The sequence below is a fragment of the Homo sapiens genome, chromosome 5, assembly GCF_000001405.40.
Source record: "Homo sapiens chromosome 5, GRCh38.p14 Primary Assembly".
Lineage (NCBI taxonomy): Eukaryota > Metazoa > Chordata > Mammalia > Primates > Hominidae > Homo > Homo sapiens.
In genome coordinates, this window is record NC_000005.10 from 997,503 (window position 1) to 1,010,418 (window position 12,916).

The 12,916-nt window shown below is 59.8% G+C and overlaps 1 protein-coding gene and 1 long non-coding RNA gene across 6 annotated transcripts in view, besides 7 other annotated features; one reads left to right on the forward strand and one right to left on the reverse strand.

Annotated features, from left to right (window-relative positions):
- Window positions 1–141: 141 nt before the first annotated feature.
- LOC124900932 (uncharacterized) lies at window positions 142–6,471 on the reverse strand. Its single transcript, XR_007058677.1, has 2 exons — window positions 5,784–6,471; window positions 142–4,820 (listed from the first exon to the last, which is right to left on the reverse strand). It is a non-coding gene; the product is annotated as an uncharacterized LOC124900932 (long non-coding RNA).
- Window positions 6,710–7,353: an enhancer, noted in NCBI's record as "H3K27ac-H3K4me1 hESC enhancer chr5:1004327-1004970 (GRCh37/hg19 assembly coordinates)". NCBI's record gives its function as "activates a minimal SCP1, AML or CMV promoter by ChIP-STARR-seq in naive and primed H9 embryonic stem cells {active_cell/tissue: H9 hESC(naive and primed)}" and the evidence as "EXISTENCE:reporter gene assay evidence [ECO:0000049][PMID:30033119]".
- Window positions 7,354–7,998: an enhancer, noted in NCBI's record as "H3K27ac-H3K4me1 hESC enhancer chr5:1004971-1005615 (GRCh37/hg19 assembly coordinates)". NCBI's record gives its function as "activates a minimal SCP1, AML or CMV promoter by ChIP-STARR-seq in primed H9 embryonic stem cells {active_cell/tissue: H9 hESC(primed)}" and the evidence as "EXISTENCE:reporter gene assay evidence [ECO:0000049][PMID:30033119]".
- Window positions 7,472–7,766: an enhancer, noted in NCBI's record as "tiled region #4144; K562 Activating DNase matched - State 4:PromP". NCBI's record gives its function as "activates a minimal TATA promoter and a strong SV40 promoter by Sharpr-MPRA in K562 cells {active_cell/tissue: K562}" and the evidence as "EXISTENCE:reporter gene assay evidence [ECO:0000049][PMID:27701403]".
- Window positions 7,472–7,766: a silencer, noted in NCBI's record as "tiled region #4144; HepG2 Repressive non-DNase unmatched - State 4:PromP". NCBI's record gives its function as "represses a minimal TATA promoter and a strong SV40 promoter by Sharpr-MPRA in HepG2 cells {active_cell/tissue: HepG2}" and the evidence as "EXISTENCE:reporter gene assay evidence [ECO:0000049][PMID:27701403]".
- Window positions 7,999–8,642: an enhancer, noted in NCBI's record as "H3K27ac-H3K4me1 hESC enhancer chr5:1005616-1006259 (GRCh37/hg19 assembly coordinates)". NCBI's record gives its function as "activates a minimal SCP1, AML or CMV promoter by ChIP-STARR-seq in primed H9 embryonic stem cells {active_cell/tissue: H9 hESC(primed)}" and the evidence as "EXISTENCE:reporter gene assay evidence [ECO:0000049][PMID:30033119]".
- Window positions 9,796–10,561: an enhancer, noted in NCBI's record as "H3K4me1 hESC enhancer chr5:1007413-1008178 (GRCh37/hg19 assembly coordinates)". NCBI's record gives its function as "activates a minimal SCP1, AML or CMV promoter by ChIP-STARR-seq in naive H9 embryonic stem cells {active_cell/tissue: H9 hESC(naive)}" and the evidence as "EXISTENCE:reporter gene assay evidence [ECO:0000049][PMID:30033119]".
- Window positions 10,562–11,327: an enhancer, noted in NCBI's record as "H3K4me1 hESC enhancer chr5:1008179-1008944 (GRCh37/hg19 assembly coordinates)". NCBI's record gives its function as "activates a minimal SCP1, AML or CMV promoter by ChIP-STARR-seq in naive and primed H9 embryonic stem cells {active_cell/tissue: H9 hESC(naive and primed)}" and the evidence as "EXISTENCE:reporter gene assay evidence [ECO:0000049][PMID:30033119]".
- The window catches only part of NKD2 (NKD inhibitor of Wnt signaling pathway 2), a 30,142-nt gene continuing 28,525 nt past the window's right edge, over window positions 11,300–12,916 (forward strand). For all 5 annotated transcript variants that reach the window (XM_005248382.4, NM_001271082.2, NM_033120.4 and 2 more), the window contains exons 1-3: window positions 11,300–11,580; window positions 11,677–11,712; window positions 11,979–12,058. In XM_005248382.4, coding sequence (XP_005248439.1) covers window positions 11,556–11,580; window positions 11,677–11,712; window positions 11,979–12,058 — 141 coding nt within the window. In that variant the 5' untranslated portion in view covers window positions 11,300–11,555. The remainder of the gene's footprint in view (window positions 11,581–11,676; window positions 11,713–11,978; window positions 12,059–12,916) is intronic.

Here is a 12,916-nt window from a genome sequence, read left to right on the forward strand (position 1 = left end):
AAAATAAGTAGGAAACAAAACTGCAGATAATTAGGTGATTATCTTGGGAGATGGGAATCTGTGGGGGGGGGAGGGAATTTTTATTTTTCTCTTCACATTTTTCCACATTTTTCTAATTTTTTTACAATGATCATACAGCACTTTCATAACAAAAAATAATAAACATTTTATTTCACAAAACTATAACCTGGAAAAAGTGATAAATGTCTATAAGTGAATATTCCATAGCGGTAAGAATGGATGAGGCATTTTTATCCACAAGGCAGATCTTCAGAACATGAGGCACTGCTACTGGTACTGGGCATGGCTTTGGCTGCTCTCCCAGTGGGGGTCTGAGGTGGCCCTGGGCCATCTGCCCTCACCTGGCTCTGGGGCAACAGGGGCAGGGGTGGGAGAGGCATCAGGTCTGGGAAAAGGCACAGTCCACGGGCTCCACTGGATCAAGGCAGTGCCCTCCACTCCATCGGGCCTGAGTGGAGATGGCCTCACTGGCTTAGCTCTGCCCAAGCAAATCCACCCTCGTGTTGCCTCCAAGGCATCCGCCAGGTCCTCACCTCACCCCCTGCCCCAATTACTTATGTTCTTCTTTTTATCAGAAAAACATTCGATGTGGCCATATTTTCAATAATAGCTTGAGTCAGTCTCACTTGGTTGTGATAACTCAGAAGACTGGTGATCAGAGAGAAAGAGGAAAAGGGGGACGGGGGAGAAGGGGAAGAGTGAGGGACGGGGGAGGGAGGGAAGAGGGAGGGAGGGAGAGAAGAGCAGGACGGTGGGAGGAGGTTTCTTGGCATGCTTCCTGCTGGTTCAGACCCAGTCCAAGTTTCCTGAACCCATGTTCTGGAATGTCTGGCGCTGCCACAAGATGAGGAGGAGACCCAGCCACAGGCGTGAGGACATGGGTGCATCCTCCTCATGGCCGACCCGAGTTCCCACCAGGCACAGGACTTCGTTAACAGAAGCAGCTTCTCAGGCAAATCACACAGCACCCCCAGCCCCTGCTGAAGTGCCTCCTCCTCTCCAGCTCACCCAAGGAGCCGGAGCTTTGGCTGCACTGGTGCTGGGGGCGGCTTCACCCCGTGAGGGTGCCACTCCATGGGCCACTGGGAGGTTGTTGTGCAGTCCTGGCCAGTTTACAGAACAGAGATCCAAACTTTCACCTAATATATAAGACAGGAACCATTTTCATTTGACCAGAGAGGGCCTCAGGGGGATCCTGGCCCTCAGCTCCCAGGAAGAGGTCCTCTCCCCGCAGCATCCATGGGAAGTGCCTTCAGTTGCTCCAGTTCTTCACCCCTCTCTGTATCTGCCCTATGTCTGCAGCTTGGCAGGGTGTTTGCTGCTTACATTTTGAGACTCTCGGAAACAAACTGTGCCTTCTAAACACACAGTGGAATCTGACACCAATGATGCAGTCCAGAATGCTTTCTTCCCCTGGTGACAAACTTTCCGAGTATCTTACATTAGTTTAGTGGGGCCTTCCAGCAGCTGTCCCAACTCAGAGACAGACCTGCAGGCCCATGGGCCAAGACAGAGCCCTTCCCCACCAACCTTGACCTTGGATGAAAAGCATCATCCCTGTTTGCTGGAAGTGTGTAGTAGGATGACGGATGTGTTGGCAGAGCCAGGCCCATGCTGTCCAGGGAGGCATCAATGCTTTGCGGTGTCCAGACAGTTTACAAGGCCCAAGAATGCTGCTCCCTTGGTGAGGCAACCACCTCGTGCTAAAAATCCCCTGACAAGTCACCAAGACTTGAAGGGAGGAGGCTCTCTGGAGCATGAGCCAACTCTCCCAGATGCTAACTTGGATGGCTGTGAACCCAGTCCTGCCTCAGCCATGGGCACCCCCTTCGTCGGAATCCAAGTACATTGCTGCCACCTGTGTCCATGGTTGCAGAGACTCAAGACACCACCCACAGGAGAGAGTTGCAGGAATGCCTGGCCTCACTACCCAGGGTGGGGAGCCGGATGTCCAAGGCAGGGAGGACTGGCTCTCACATTCTGCAGAAAAGACTATTTGTGTCCACCTGGGGCCATGTGTGGGGCGGTGGGGTCAGGGATGCCTCACTGCAATTCACTATTCTGGCAGTGGGGTGGGAAGAGCCTCTTTTAGTAACTCCCAAAACTGCCACTGAAGAGGGGATCCTGGACATATCCACCCTGACCCTCTGAGGTGAGAAAAGAAACTATAACACAAGGACTGCTGCAGTTGCTCTCTAAGCAATAGGCTTGGCCCAGCAGGCACTGTTTAGGCAGCCCAGCAGGCTCCCCTGTTGCCAGGAGAATCCCAGAGACCCACTGGGACCCTCCAGCACCCAGCTATACCAGCTCCACTCCACAGCTCACCCAAGATGGACATGAGGACTTCAGATCGTGATGTCCAGTTTTAACTAAACTAACTCCCCAAAAACTGGACACGTGACTTCACGAGGCTTTTGCCGAGGAGCCCTGGGCTGCAGGGAACATTAATGGGGTAGGTGCACCCAGGCAAGGATGTGGGCAGACCCTCCAGCCTCTTGTGGTCTGGGTGTGCCTTGGGAAATGGCCAGCAGGATTCTTCTTGGAGGCAAGCTGGAGATTTTTAGGTCCTGGGTTAGAGGGAGAACTATGCGATTCCTCTGAGAGACCTGGGGATGGAGGGACTGGACCCTTCCAGCCACCTGTGCTGAGCCCATCTGCTGCCTCCTAAGGGGCTCCTAAGGGGCAATGGGTGGAAGTCTCCTGGGCTATGCCCTGAGCAGACACCATCCTTTTTGCTCCTTGGCAAAGATGCCTCTCAGGATCAAAGACCTGGTGGCCTGGTCCCTCCAGGAGGAATGGGAGGGCCAGCTTCCTTCCCTGACAGCTATGGGAAGATGGAACCCAGTCCAGGCCTTGAGTGCAGTTCCCTGACCCTCATGGTAAGCGCCGTGCCTGGTCCCCTCATCTCTCTCAGGGAAGAAGTGATAAACACCATTGGGTTTCCGTGACTCAGGCACAGTGACTTATACATCCTTGTCACAACCTGGGCTGTAAATGCTGCCCCACACGTTCCCAGCATGAGTGAGCGCTGCCTTTCTTTAGGAGATGGAGGCACGGCCGCCTCCAGGGGTCCTGCTGCCTGTGGGCGCCCATCAGGATAGAACTCACAATCTGCCCACCACTGCCTGCCATGTGGTCCCTCAATATCCCCAGGCCTCCTCCCACCAAGTACCCTCAGGCTTCTGTGCCTGCTGCAATCTCATCGTACAGACATCCATGATGTGGTGAAGACTTGAAGAAAAAGATGTTAAATGAGGGGTTCCTTCCTCAAGGTAGAAAGCCCCTTTTGTGGGCTGAGAATTGAAGACTGAGGACTGGGTTCGTTCCCTGAGTCCACGTCCGCTGCTGCAAGGAAAATGTGCAGTACACCCCCAACCCAATCTGCCTGGCATCTACACCTGTGCACCGGGCAGGGGAAGGAGTGGGTCCTTGTTGCTGGGACCCCAGGGAGTCCCCAGCGGTGGATGAGGTGGGCCATGGAAAGGGACTCCCCCCACCACAAGAGCTGCACAACCTGTTGAAGGGGCCGAGGCCTCCATCTTAAAGATAAGCGGCTTTAGGCTGGGCTCAGTGGCTGACGCCTGTAATCCCAGCACTTTGGGAGGCTGAGGTGGGCGGATCACTTGAGGTCAGGAGTTCAAGACCAGCCTGGCCAACATGGTGAAACCCTGTCTCTACTAAAAATAGAAAAAAAATTAGACGGGCGTGGTGGTGGGTGCCTGTCATCCAAGCTACTCGGGAGGCTGAGGCAGGAGAATCGCTCAAACCCAGGAGGCAGAGGTTGCAGTGAGCTGAGATCATGTCACTGCACTCCAGCCTGGGTGAGAGACTGAGACTCTCTCAAAAATAAATAAATAAATAAACAAATAAAAGATTTATTTATTTAGCTTTGTGAGCCCAGGGCTGGGGACTGTCCTGGGCAGCTATGAGGTGGTAGACCCAGCTGGCCTGCTGTCCCTGGGAACTTGGGACTTGGGCAGGTAATAGCAGCATGTCTCAGCACTGCCCCAGGAGCTGGGGATCCTGGGTAGAGGAATGGACAGGGGAACCCTCCTTCCTTCTCGGGGCTGATTGGCACACACAAAGCGCCTTCCATATGCACGCAGCCCCATGGACGGGGCAGGAGGCAGGGCAGTCAGGGGCAGTGGCAGGTGTCCTGGCAGGAGGGAGGACGCATCCCTGGTGAGAACCATCAGGAGAGAGTCTGGCATTGCATGACCAGGCTGGAGAAGGGGAAGCCCGCGGGACCAGGCCACAGAGGGGCATCTTGTGGCCTACCAGATGGCGGAGACTTCCCTCAGGGAGTATTCCCTGCACACTCACTGACAACACCCACGAAGGCATGCAGATTCTTCCAGAAGCAGCTGAAAGCCACACATGGAAGACTGCAGTGCAGTGGAGAAGCAGTTCTCTGGGTTTCTCAGGGGCAGGCAAAGAGGTGTGTGAGCCCCCTGGGCTGTGGACAGCAGGACACCTAACGGCCCTCGAGCCTCTGCAGAAGCATCAGTCACCATGCCCAACGATCGCATCCCCTGTCCCCAGACAAGGCCTGCGTGGGAAACAGATGTCCACAGAAATCCCTGAGCCGAGGTCGCTTTGTGATCTTTTCTGATTTCCCAGTGAAATTTCACCACAAACCACACATTTGGAACATGGCTGCTGCAGCTCAGGCAGAAGCAGGCCTCAGTGGTCGGGTGCAGAAGCTGTGGGAGTTTCCGTGTCTCAGGCCAGTTCCGGCCTGGGGACCCAAGGCCGACCGCACGTTGAGTTGAGCGGAGGATGAACCTGAGCCCCTTCACCTGGAAGTGAGAGCAGCAACTCACTGCTGATTCACACTTTCATTTCCAGCCAGGAGAGACTTTCCTCCAAGCCAGAGCTGATAAGATACAAAGACTAAGACTAAAACTCCCCAGGTTGGGATAAGATAAATATCACCAAATTACAGCAAGTGTTTAGGTGGAGAGGACCTCAGTGATCATAATTGATGCCCACACATGTTTCTTGGCATCTGGGCTTCCTTCACTGCTCACTCAGATTCCTGGGTTATTTTAAAAATCACGGCCAGGCGTGGTGGCTCACGCCCGTAATCCCAGCACTTTGGGAGGCTGAGCACTTTGGCAGGCCGAGACGGGGGTGGGGGGAGGAATCACTGGAGGTCAGGAGTTCGAGACCAGCCTGGGCAACATGGCAAAACCCCATCTCTACTAAAAACAAAAATTAACCAGGCGTGGTGGTATGCATCTCTAATCCCAGCTACTCGGGAGGCTGAGGCAGGAGAATCACTTGAACCCGGGAGGTGGAGGTTGCAGTGAGCTGAGATCACGCCACTGCACTCCAGCCTGAGCAACACAGTGAGACTCCGTCTCCAAAAAAAAAAAAAAAAAAAAAAAAAAATCACGCATACGGGACTCCTGGAAGGCAGCTTCTCACCGTCACTGCCGTCTGCCCTGCTACATGTGACGGCTGTGTTTCACATGTTCACCGGTGTGTACGCCCGGGTGTGCTTCGAACTGAGAAGCCAGGAGCCCAGGGCTTCTCTGCTGCCCACGAATCATGCCTTCTACTTGCCCTCGCTGCCCAGCTTGCAAGGCCCTTTTACTGAACTTACTTTGATTGCAATAAAAACCAGTAAAACCCAAAAAACAAGTGCATACAAAAGTATGCCCAGAACACCTTTGGAAAACCATTTTCTGACTTGGGTGGGTTTTTTCCTTCTAGGTCTCTAATCACAAATTGCCTGAAAGATTTGCACAAATATTTACCTGAAACTGGAAGAGGTGTTTCCTCAACCATGAATCGTGGCCAGTTGTGGGTCCCTTTGAGGCAATTTCCCTGGAGAAGTGCATGGTTATTAAATTTAATAGTCGGTGCAGATGATTCATCTTTTGAAGGCGCTCAGAATGATGGCTGAGGATAAATGTAGAATTAGCCTTCTAAGTATCCAGTGGTCTGGCAACGTTCCAAGTATGCCAGGAAACAGGTAGGCGTGCTTCAGATCCACCTCCCTTTCAATAGTTTTAACAGTCCATGTACCAGAGGTGATATCACAACCAACCTGTAATTCAGAATAAGCCTCGTGTGGCAACATGGTTGGGGGGGGTGCGGGGAGCAGGCGAAATGCAAGGCACTTGGGTGTGGCAGCCACGTGAACTTCTTGTTCATGCCTAAGAAGGCATGTTCATGCCAAAGCGTGTGTCTGCAGGGAAACCCGGTGCACTTGGGAGGCACAGCCAAGGCTTCAGGGGTCAGCATGGCTGGCGGACGCTGCACAGCCAAGGAGAGGTGGACTCAAACAAGGGCGGCCTCGGGGGCGGTGTGCAGGCGACACCCAGGGGATCTTGTGCACTTAAAAACGTAGGGATCCATTTGCAAAGCGAAGAGCACGCAAGGGGAGCACACATCCAGACCCGGAGTCGCCATCCTCCCTCGTGGGGCCAATCCGCCAGGGCCAACGCGGCATGGGCAGGGAGGGGAAATGTCCCGGCAGGCTCCGTGTGACGCGTCACAGTAGCGTTTTGTCCGATGTCAGGCAGTGCTTTTCTTAGACGTCCCCAGGGCTCCGGTGGAGACCAACCCGTGTGTGAATTTCAGTCTTGCCGGCTACTTCGGGTCGCGAGGCTCACGGCTTTGCTCGCACTATGGGGAAAAAGCCGGGCACTGAAGGGGACGTGGGTGTGTGTGTGTGTGTGTGTGTGTGTGTGTGTGTGTGTGTGCCGGCTCCGCGCATGCGCCTATTTCAACTCCAGCCACAGCCTGGGGCCAAGACAGTGTCTTCAAAAGAGGCCCCTGACCCCGGGGTCAGAGTTGGCTACACCATGCCTTCCAGGCACGCCACACCGTGAGGTCACACCGCGGACGCCCCTCACACAGGGGACGCCCCTCACACAGCGGATGCCCCTCATGCCACGGAGGCCTCCGCACACAGGGACGCCCCTCACTCCGCGGACGCCTCTCACACAGGGACGCCCCTCACACAGGGACGCCCCTCACGCCGCGGACACCCCCTCACACAGCGGACATGCCTCGACGCCCCTTCACATGGCGGACGCCCCCTCACACGGCGGACCCCGACCTCGCCGCTTTCTAAACGGGAGGGGAGGAGCCGTGGCCACCGTGACAACCACAAAACAGGATGAGCCCCGCCTCCCAGAACGCGGAGTCGCGGTGGAAGAGGGTGACGCCGCCGAGAGTTCACGAGCGTGTCCCAAGCCGAGTGAGGAGCGCGCGGGGGCGCTCTTGCTCCCAAGGCCGCACGAGCGCCAAGGCCTCGCGGGGAGAATAGCCACGGGGGGAGACGGGGCCCGCGCTGCCCCCACGAACGCTGTTGGTGGGGACCCCACGGCTGCGCCCGCTGAGGTGGAGGGGCCGGGAGGACAGAGCCCCGCGCCCGCCGCCGCCCGCTTCTGACCCTGCCGGTCCCGGGCTGGGGCAGAGAAGGGCGGGCGCGGGCGGCCGTGCCGGGAGCGGAGGCGGACGCCGGCCGGGTCTCCCCGGGTCTCCCCGCTGGGCGTCCTGCGGCCGCACCTCCTCCTCCATCCGGAGACCAGGCCCCTGCCCCGCCCGCGGCTGAGGAGATAAGGAGAGGCTGATTTGAAAAGCTGCGAGGACGCGCATTTTAACCTCCAGGGACGGCTTGAGCCCCGCCCTGCCTTTCGAAAGTGCTGGGAACGGATTTTATCAGCAGGCGAAACTGTCCTCAAAGCTCCGTGGCCCAGCAAAAGGCAGGGCGGGGACGCCCATGGCCCCCGGGCCGGCCCCCTACGGGCTCAGCCTCCGAGTCCCCGGACTGGACGGCGCGGGCGTCGGGGGTCCAGGCTGCTCCGGCCGCCCCGCTGTGAGCCCGAGCTGCGCTGCAGCCGCTGGTCACGTATGGGGGTCCCCCGCGTCCTTTCCTCCAGGCCGGCAGTGGGCTGGGGCCGCAAGTGTCCCCGCGTACACTGGCCGTCCCCCAGGGACAAGGACAGTTGCCCTGAAAAGCTGCGGCTCCCGCCAGAAGGTCCCAGCTCGGGCTGCCCCGGGCAGACGCAGAGCGAAAGGCGAGGCAGGACGGGCCTGAGGAACCTGGAAGTCCCTGCAGGGCCCCTGGAAGAGGCAGGCAGGGGGCTGCCCCACAGACGGGCCCAGGAGAGGACACGCCGGGCTGGCATCACGTGAGGAGAGCGTCCAGCAAACCACACTGGTCCCGAGGCCTCCACGAAAAGTAGATGGGCATCTCGCGGCAGCCACCACTGAGGCAGCACCGGGAAAGCATGGTGGGTGCCCACTGGCCCCGCAGAGGGCAAAGGCATGCACACGCCAGAAGGGAACGTCAAGGGGAGCAAAGAGAACCCCTTCCTCCTGGAATGGCTGAGGGGACCAGGCCGCTCTGTGATGCAGACATCTCAAGGGGCTCTCCCTTGCACTACCCCATGTGGACTTTAACTCCCAATTTGGAAAGTAATGATGTCATCTTCTGTGGTCTCAGGGTCCTAGTGAGTGTGTGAGGATAATAGTGTTACATGTTATGCAAAGGGATTGTGAACTGGCATGGGGGTCAGGTTTGCAGGGCCTGGAGCTGGTGACTCCAGCTCTAGAACAACCCCAGGCCGGCTCTGCCCTACCCAGGAGAGATGGTCATAGGGGAAAGAGTCCAGTGGGCATTGGAGGCGTAGGGGCCACTTAGGGTTGCCCTTTGAGCTGACAGTGGGGTACAGATTCAGCTCTGCAGTGCCCCTAACCCCCACTGCGGATCCACCCGGGGGAATGCCCTGAGGACACGCGAGGTGAGGGTCAGGCGTGTCCTGCTGGGTGGGAACTCCGGACCCTCTGGGAAGGAATGGGTGAATCGGCTGCTCTCACTCTCCAGCTCCCACTCAGAGGAGCCCTGGGGGATCCCATTCCTCTACCTCAGAGGACTCCCAGGACACTGTCTGAGCCCAGTGGGAGGAGGACACACAGCCCTGATCTGCCAGTCAGTGGGGCTGAGGGTCAAGCTGTGCGCCTTGTGTGCTGGCGGCGTCCCGCCTGGGATGGATGGAGATGGTCTGTACTTTCATGGGTGAATTGTAGGGCCCCTGAATTGTATGTATCTCAATAAAGCTGCTAAAGAATAAATGTAAAACCTTTGCCTAGTAACTCAGGTTCACTGGAGTGCATGGGGAGTTTCTGCTGTTTGGACTCTGCATGTGCCTAGTTCCAAGTGACAAGGTGGGTGCGAGGGCACGGCAGCCAGTGCAGGCCCAGCCTCATGGGCTCCTCCAGCTTGGGCACCCTGTAGGGTGTGGGGTTGGTGCCATGGCCCGCCCCCACCCCCCACCTCCACCTGTCCTCCCAGGACACTTCCTCCCCCAGACCTCCTGACATCTGCATTTAGCAAGGACCAGAGCTCAGTCAGCAGAGGAGTGAAACACAATGGCCCTTCCCCACCTGGCTGGGGCACCTCAGCCAACCTCCCCCAGTGGGACCTTCTCGGGGTCTTGGGAGGAGGGCCCATGCATGTGTGAGGCAAGGCTCCCAGCCACACAGGGGACACGAGCCCACCAGCAGATCTTCACCCAGGGTGGCTCATCGGTCCTCATGTAAGGGCAGGATTTAGAGGCACGGGAAGGGCTGCAATCCTCAGGCTGTGCTACTTTGCATAACATGTAACACTATCATCCTCACACACTCACTAGGACCCTGAGACCACAGAAGATGGCATTGTTACCTTCCAAATTGGGAGTTAAAGTCCACTTGGGGTAGCGCAAGGGAGAGAGGAGGGGCCGAAAGAGCCTGGGAGGGTGGCCCTGGCCCTGAATCTGGACGCCTGGACGCTATACACAAGGGCGCTCTGAGCCCATCGCAGGCACGGCCTGGCCGGGTGCAACCCTGCTACCAGGTGCCAGAGCTGTCTGCCTGCAGGAAGTGGCCCCTCCACTAGGGTTCTTCAGAGGATGGTGGGAATGGCTCGCAGGCAAGACTACTCCCAGGAGGGTCCGTGTGCCCTTGTTCATGTGCTCGCCCACAGCTCATGTATCTGCGGACAGCCAGCAGGGGAGGCTGCTGGGGTGGGGGGCGGGCCTCTGGTTTAACTTTCCGTTTTGCCACTGAGCAGCCTAGGCCTCTGTAAAATCGTGTGATGGCGGCATCTGCCCCGAGGATGGTCTGAGAATGGGAGGCAGTAATTGGAGTGAAAGGGCTTGGCTGGACGTCAGCTCCAGAGGTGCAAGTCAGCACTGGGCAGCCGCGGAGCTGCGCTGCTCAGCTGTGAGACAGGGCTCCAGCCAGGGGAGTGGGAACAGAGAGACCGGGTGGGACCTGGGCCAGCTTAGCGGAGGCCTGGCAGGGCCGGAGCTGGGCAGGTGAGGGGTCCCGCACCGCCAGCCTCGGAGCTCCAACTCCAGGGACGGGAGCTGCCCTGGCAGAAGGTGGGGTCACCCACTGAGGTTGGAGACGTGGGCGTGGCAACAGCCCGTGGGGAAAATGCTGAGCTAGCTCTTGAAAGGCTGGGGAGATACAATGTATCAATGCAACAGGGCGTGGCAGGGAGGAGAGTCATGGGTAGGGAAGGGAGAAATGTCCCAGAAACAGGAGCAAGTTAGGGTTCCAGGAGGAAGTGAGGGAAGAAGGTTCCTCTGAAGGTAAATAAGGAAGAGAGCCCTGAGGTACCCAGCAGGGTAGGAGGCAGAGAGGGGGTCCAGTGAAGGGTACTGAGGGACGGGTCTCCAGAGCCAGCTGGAGGAGCTTGAGATGAGGCCAGGGAGGTAGCAGCTGAAGCCACTGAGTTGGACACGTGGAGGAGGCAGCGCAGGTGGCCAGGCTTGGGGCTCCTGGGAGGCTCCAACACCCTCAAGGCACAGGTCGGAGGAGACCCTGCTCAAACCAAGGACAAAGTGAGGGGGTGCAGGGCCCTTCCAGCCGGGGCCGGGGGGGGCCAACGCTGGTTCTTCATCAATTTGGAGCGCCAGGAGAGGGCGGGGATCTAGTCCTGCCGGATACCACCCCCCTTTGGGCTGCCCACACCCCCACCCCCTCTCCAGCAGCCAAGGGAGGCGGGTCCTCCCTTTCAAAGGGAGGTGCCCTCAGGCTCCTCTGGAATTGGGGATCCCTTGACCCAGGACGGCCTGGTGAGGGGTCGGAGCTGACTCCCGCCAGGCTCCGCTGCAGCACCTGACCGCCCCCACAGGTGGCCGGGCCGGGTCCTCATCGCTGGTGGGGCTCCAGGCTGGGAACGGGGGTCGAGGCCGATGCGCTGCGGGCAGCGGCCGCCGGGGGCGCTGCGGGGGCCGCGGTTAAAGCCCCGGCGCGGGCGCACGCGCTCAGAGGGAGCCGGGCCGCCGTCGCTGCCGCCGCTGTCCCCGCGCCCTGCGCCCGGTGGCCCCCCACCTCCGCCCCGCGGCCGTACCTGGCGCCCCCTGGCTCCCCCGGCCCCCGCGCGGCGTGGAGCCATCTTCCCTCACCTCCTACCGGCACCCTAGCTTGCTCCCGGCCCATGCGGCCCCCGCGGGCTCCCGGCCCCGGCTTCAGAACTCAGCCCTGCACCTGAGCGCGGGGCCCGGCGGGGCGTGGCGGCGGCGATGGGGAAACTGCAGTCGAAGCACGGTGAGCCGCGGGCCGGTAGGGCGGGAGGGCGGGCGGGCGGGCGTGGGGCCGCCTCTCACTGTCGTTTTCCTCTCCCCGCGTCCCGCCGTGCCGCAGCCGCCGCCGCCCGCAAGCGGAGAGAGAGCCCGGAAGGTGAGCGGGCGAGCCGACGGGCGGGGCGGGGGGCGGCGACCCGGCCCGGGACCCTCAGAGCTAGGAGCCCGCGCGCGTCCTGCCCTGGAGCCAGCAGTGGGGGGACGGGGCCGCGGGTCTCCAGGAGCGCGCGGGACCCCCACGCCTGCCCCTGCGCGGTCTCCAGGCGATGGGGACACAGCGAAGGCGCAGCGCCCGCGGGGCTCACGGCGCGTCTCTTTCCCTCCTCGGTGCGGGTTTCCCGCGCGTCCGCCCCCGGACCGCAGGGGACAGCTTCGTGGCGTCCGCGTACGCGAGCGGCCGCAAAGGCGCGGAGGAAGCGGAGCGGCGCGCGCGGGACAAGCAGGTAGGCGGCGGGGCGGAGGCTGGGGTCGCGCTGCGCACCCGCCCGGGGGCGGGGAGCGGTGTCAGAGCTGTTCCTGGTGCCCGCCCGCGGACAGGCGAGACGTGGGCCGCCATGGCCGCACGAGTGACCGGGGGCCAGGAGAGCCAGTCTCTCCCCAGCCTCCACGACGTCTGGGGCTCCCGTGGGGCGAGCCCTTGCTAGTGTCCCATGCTGAGTGGCGGGTAGGGGAATCGGAATTCCTTGTCCTAGGCTGGGAGCCGTGTGGGGGCTCCATGTTTCGGGCTGGAGGAGCTGGGCGAGTGGGAGGGGCTGGACCTAGACGTCCCGGGCTGGGGGTCCCGGGGAGCGGGAATGCAGTACCCCGGCTGGATGAGCTGGAGGAGTTGGAGGAGGGGTGGGAGCTACAGACCTGGGGCATCACTGGTCATAGCCTCAGTGCTCAATCAGCAAACATGGCCAGAGTCAGAGGCCTCGGTGCCTCCCATCTCTGGGAGGGGTGACCACAGGCCTGCTAGAGGCTCAGGAGACAGAGGGACATCTGCACAGCTGTGGCAAGGCTGCAGAGACTGCAAGGCTGGCTCAAGAGCCAGGCGGCCCTGAGGGTGGGTGAGGAAGGTGCTATGTCCAGGAGCAGAGAACTGTCCAGGTCTGGGGCCCTGGAAGGGCCTGGGGTAAATTAGACCTGCATGTTTGCTGAGCGTGAGAAAGCTAACATTTGATGGTCATCAGTGTCAGTGTGAACTGTATCGGTGCAGACAGCCCCACCAGGTGGCCAGGCCCACACTTGCCCCTTGCTTCCTCCCCCACTGTCCCCAGAGGTCCCCAGACACAGAACATGCCGGGTCACGCAATCAGTTT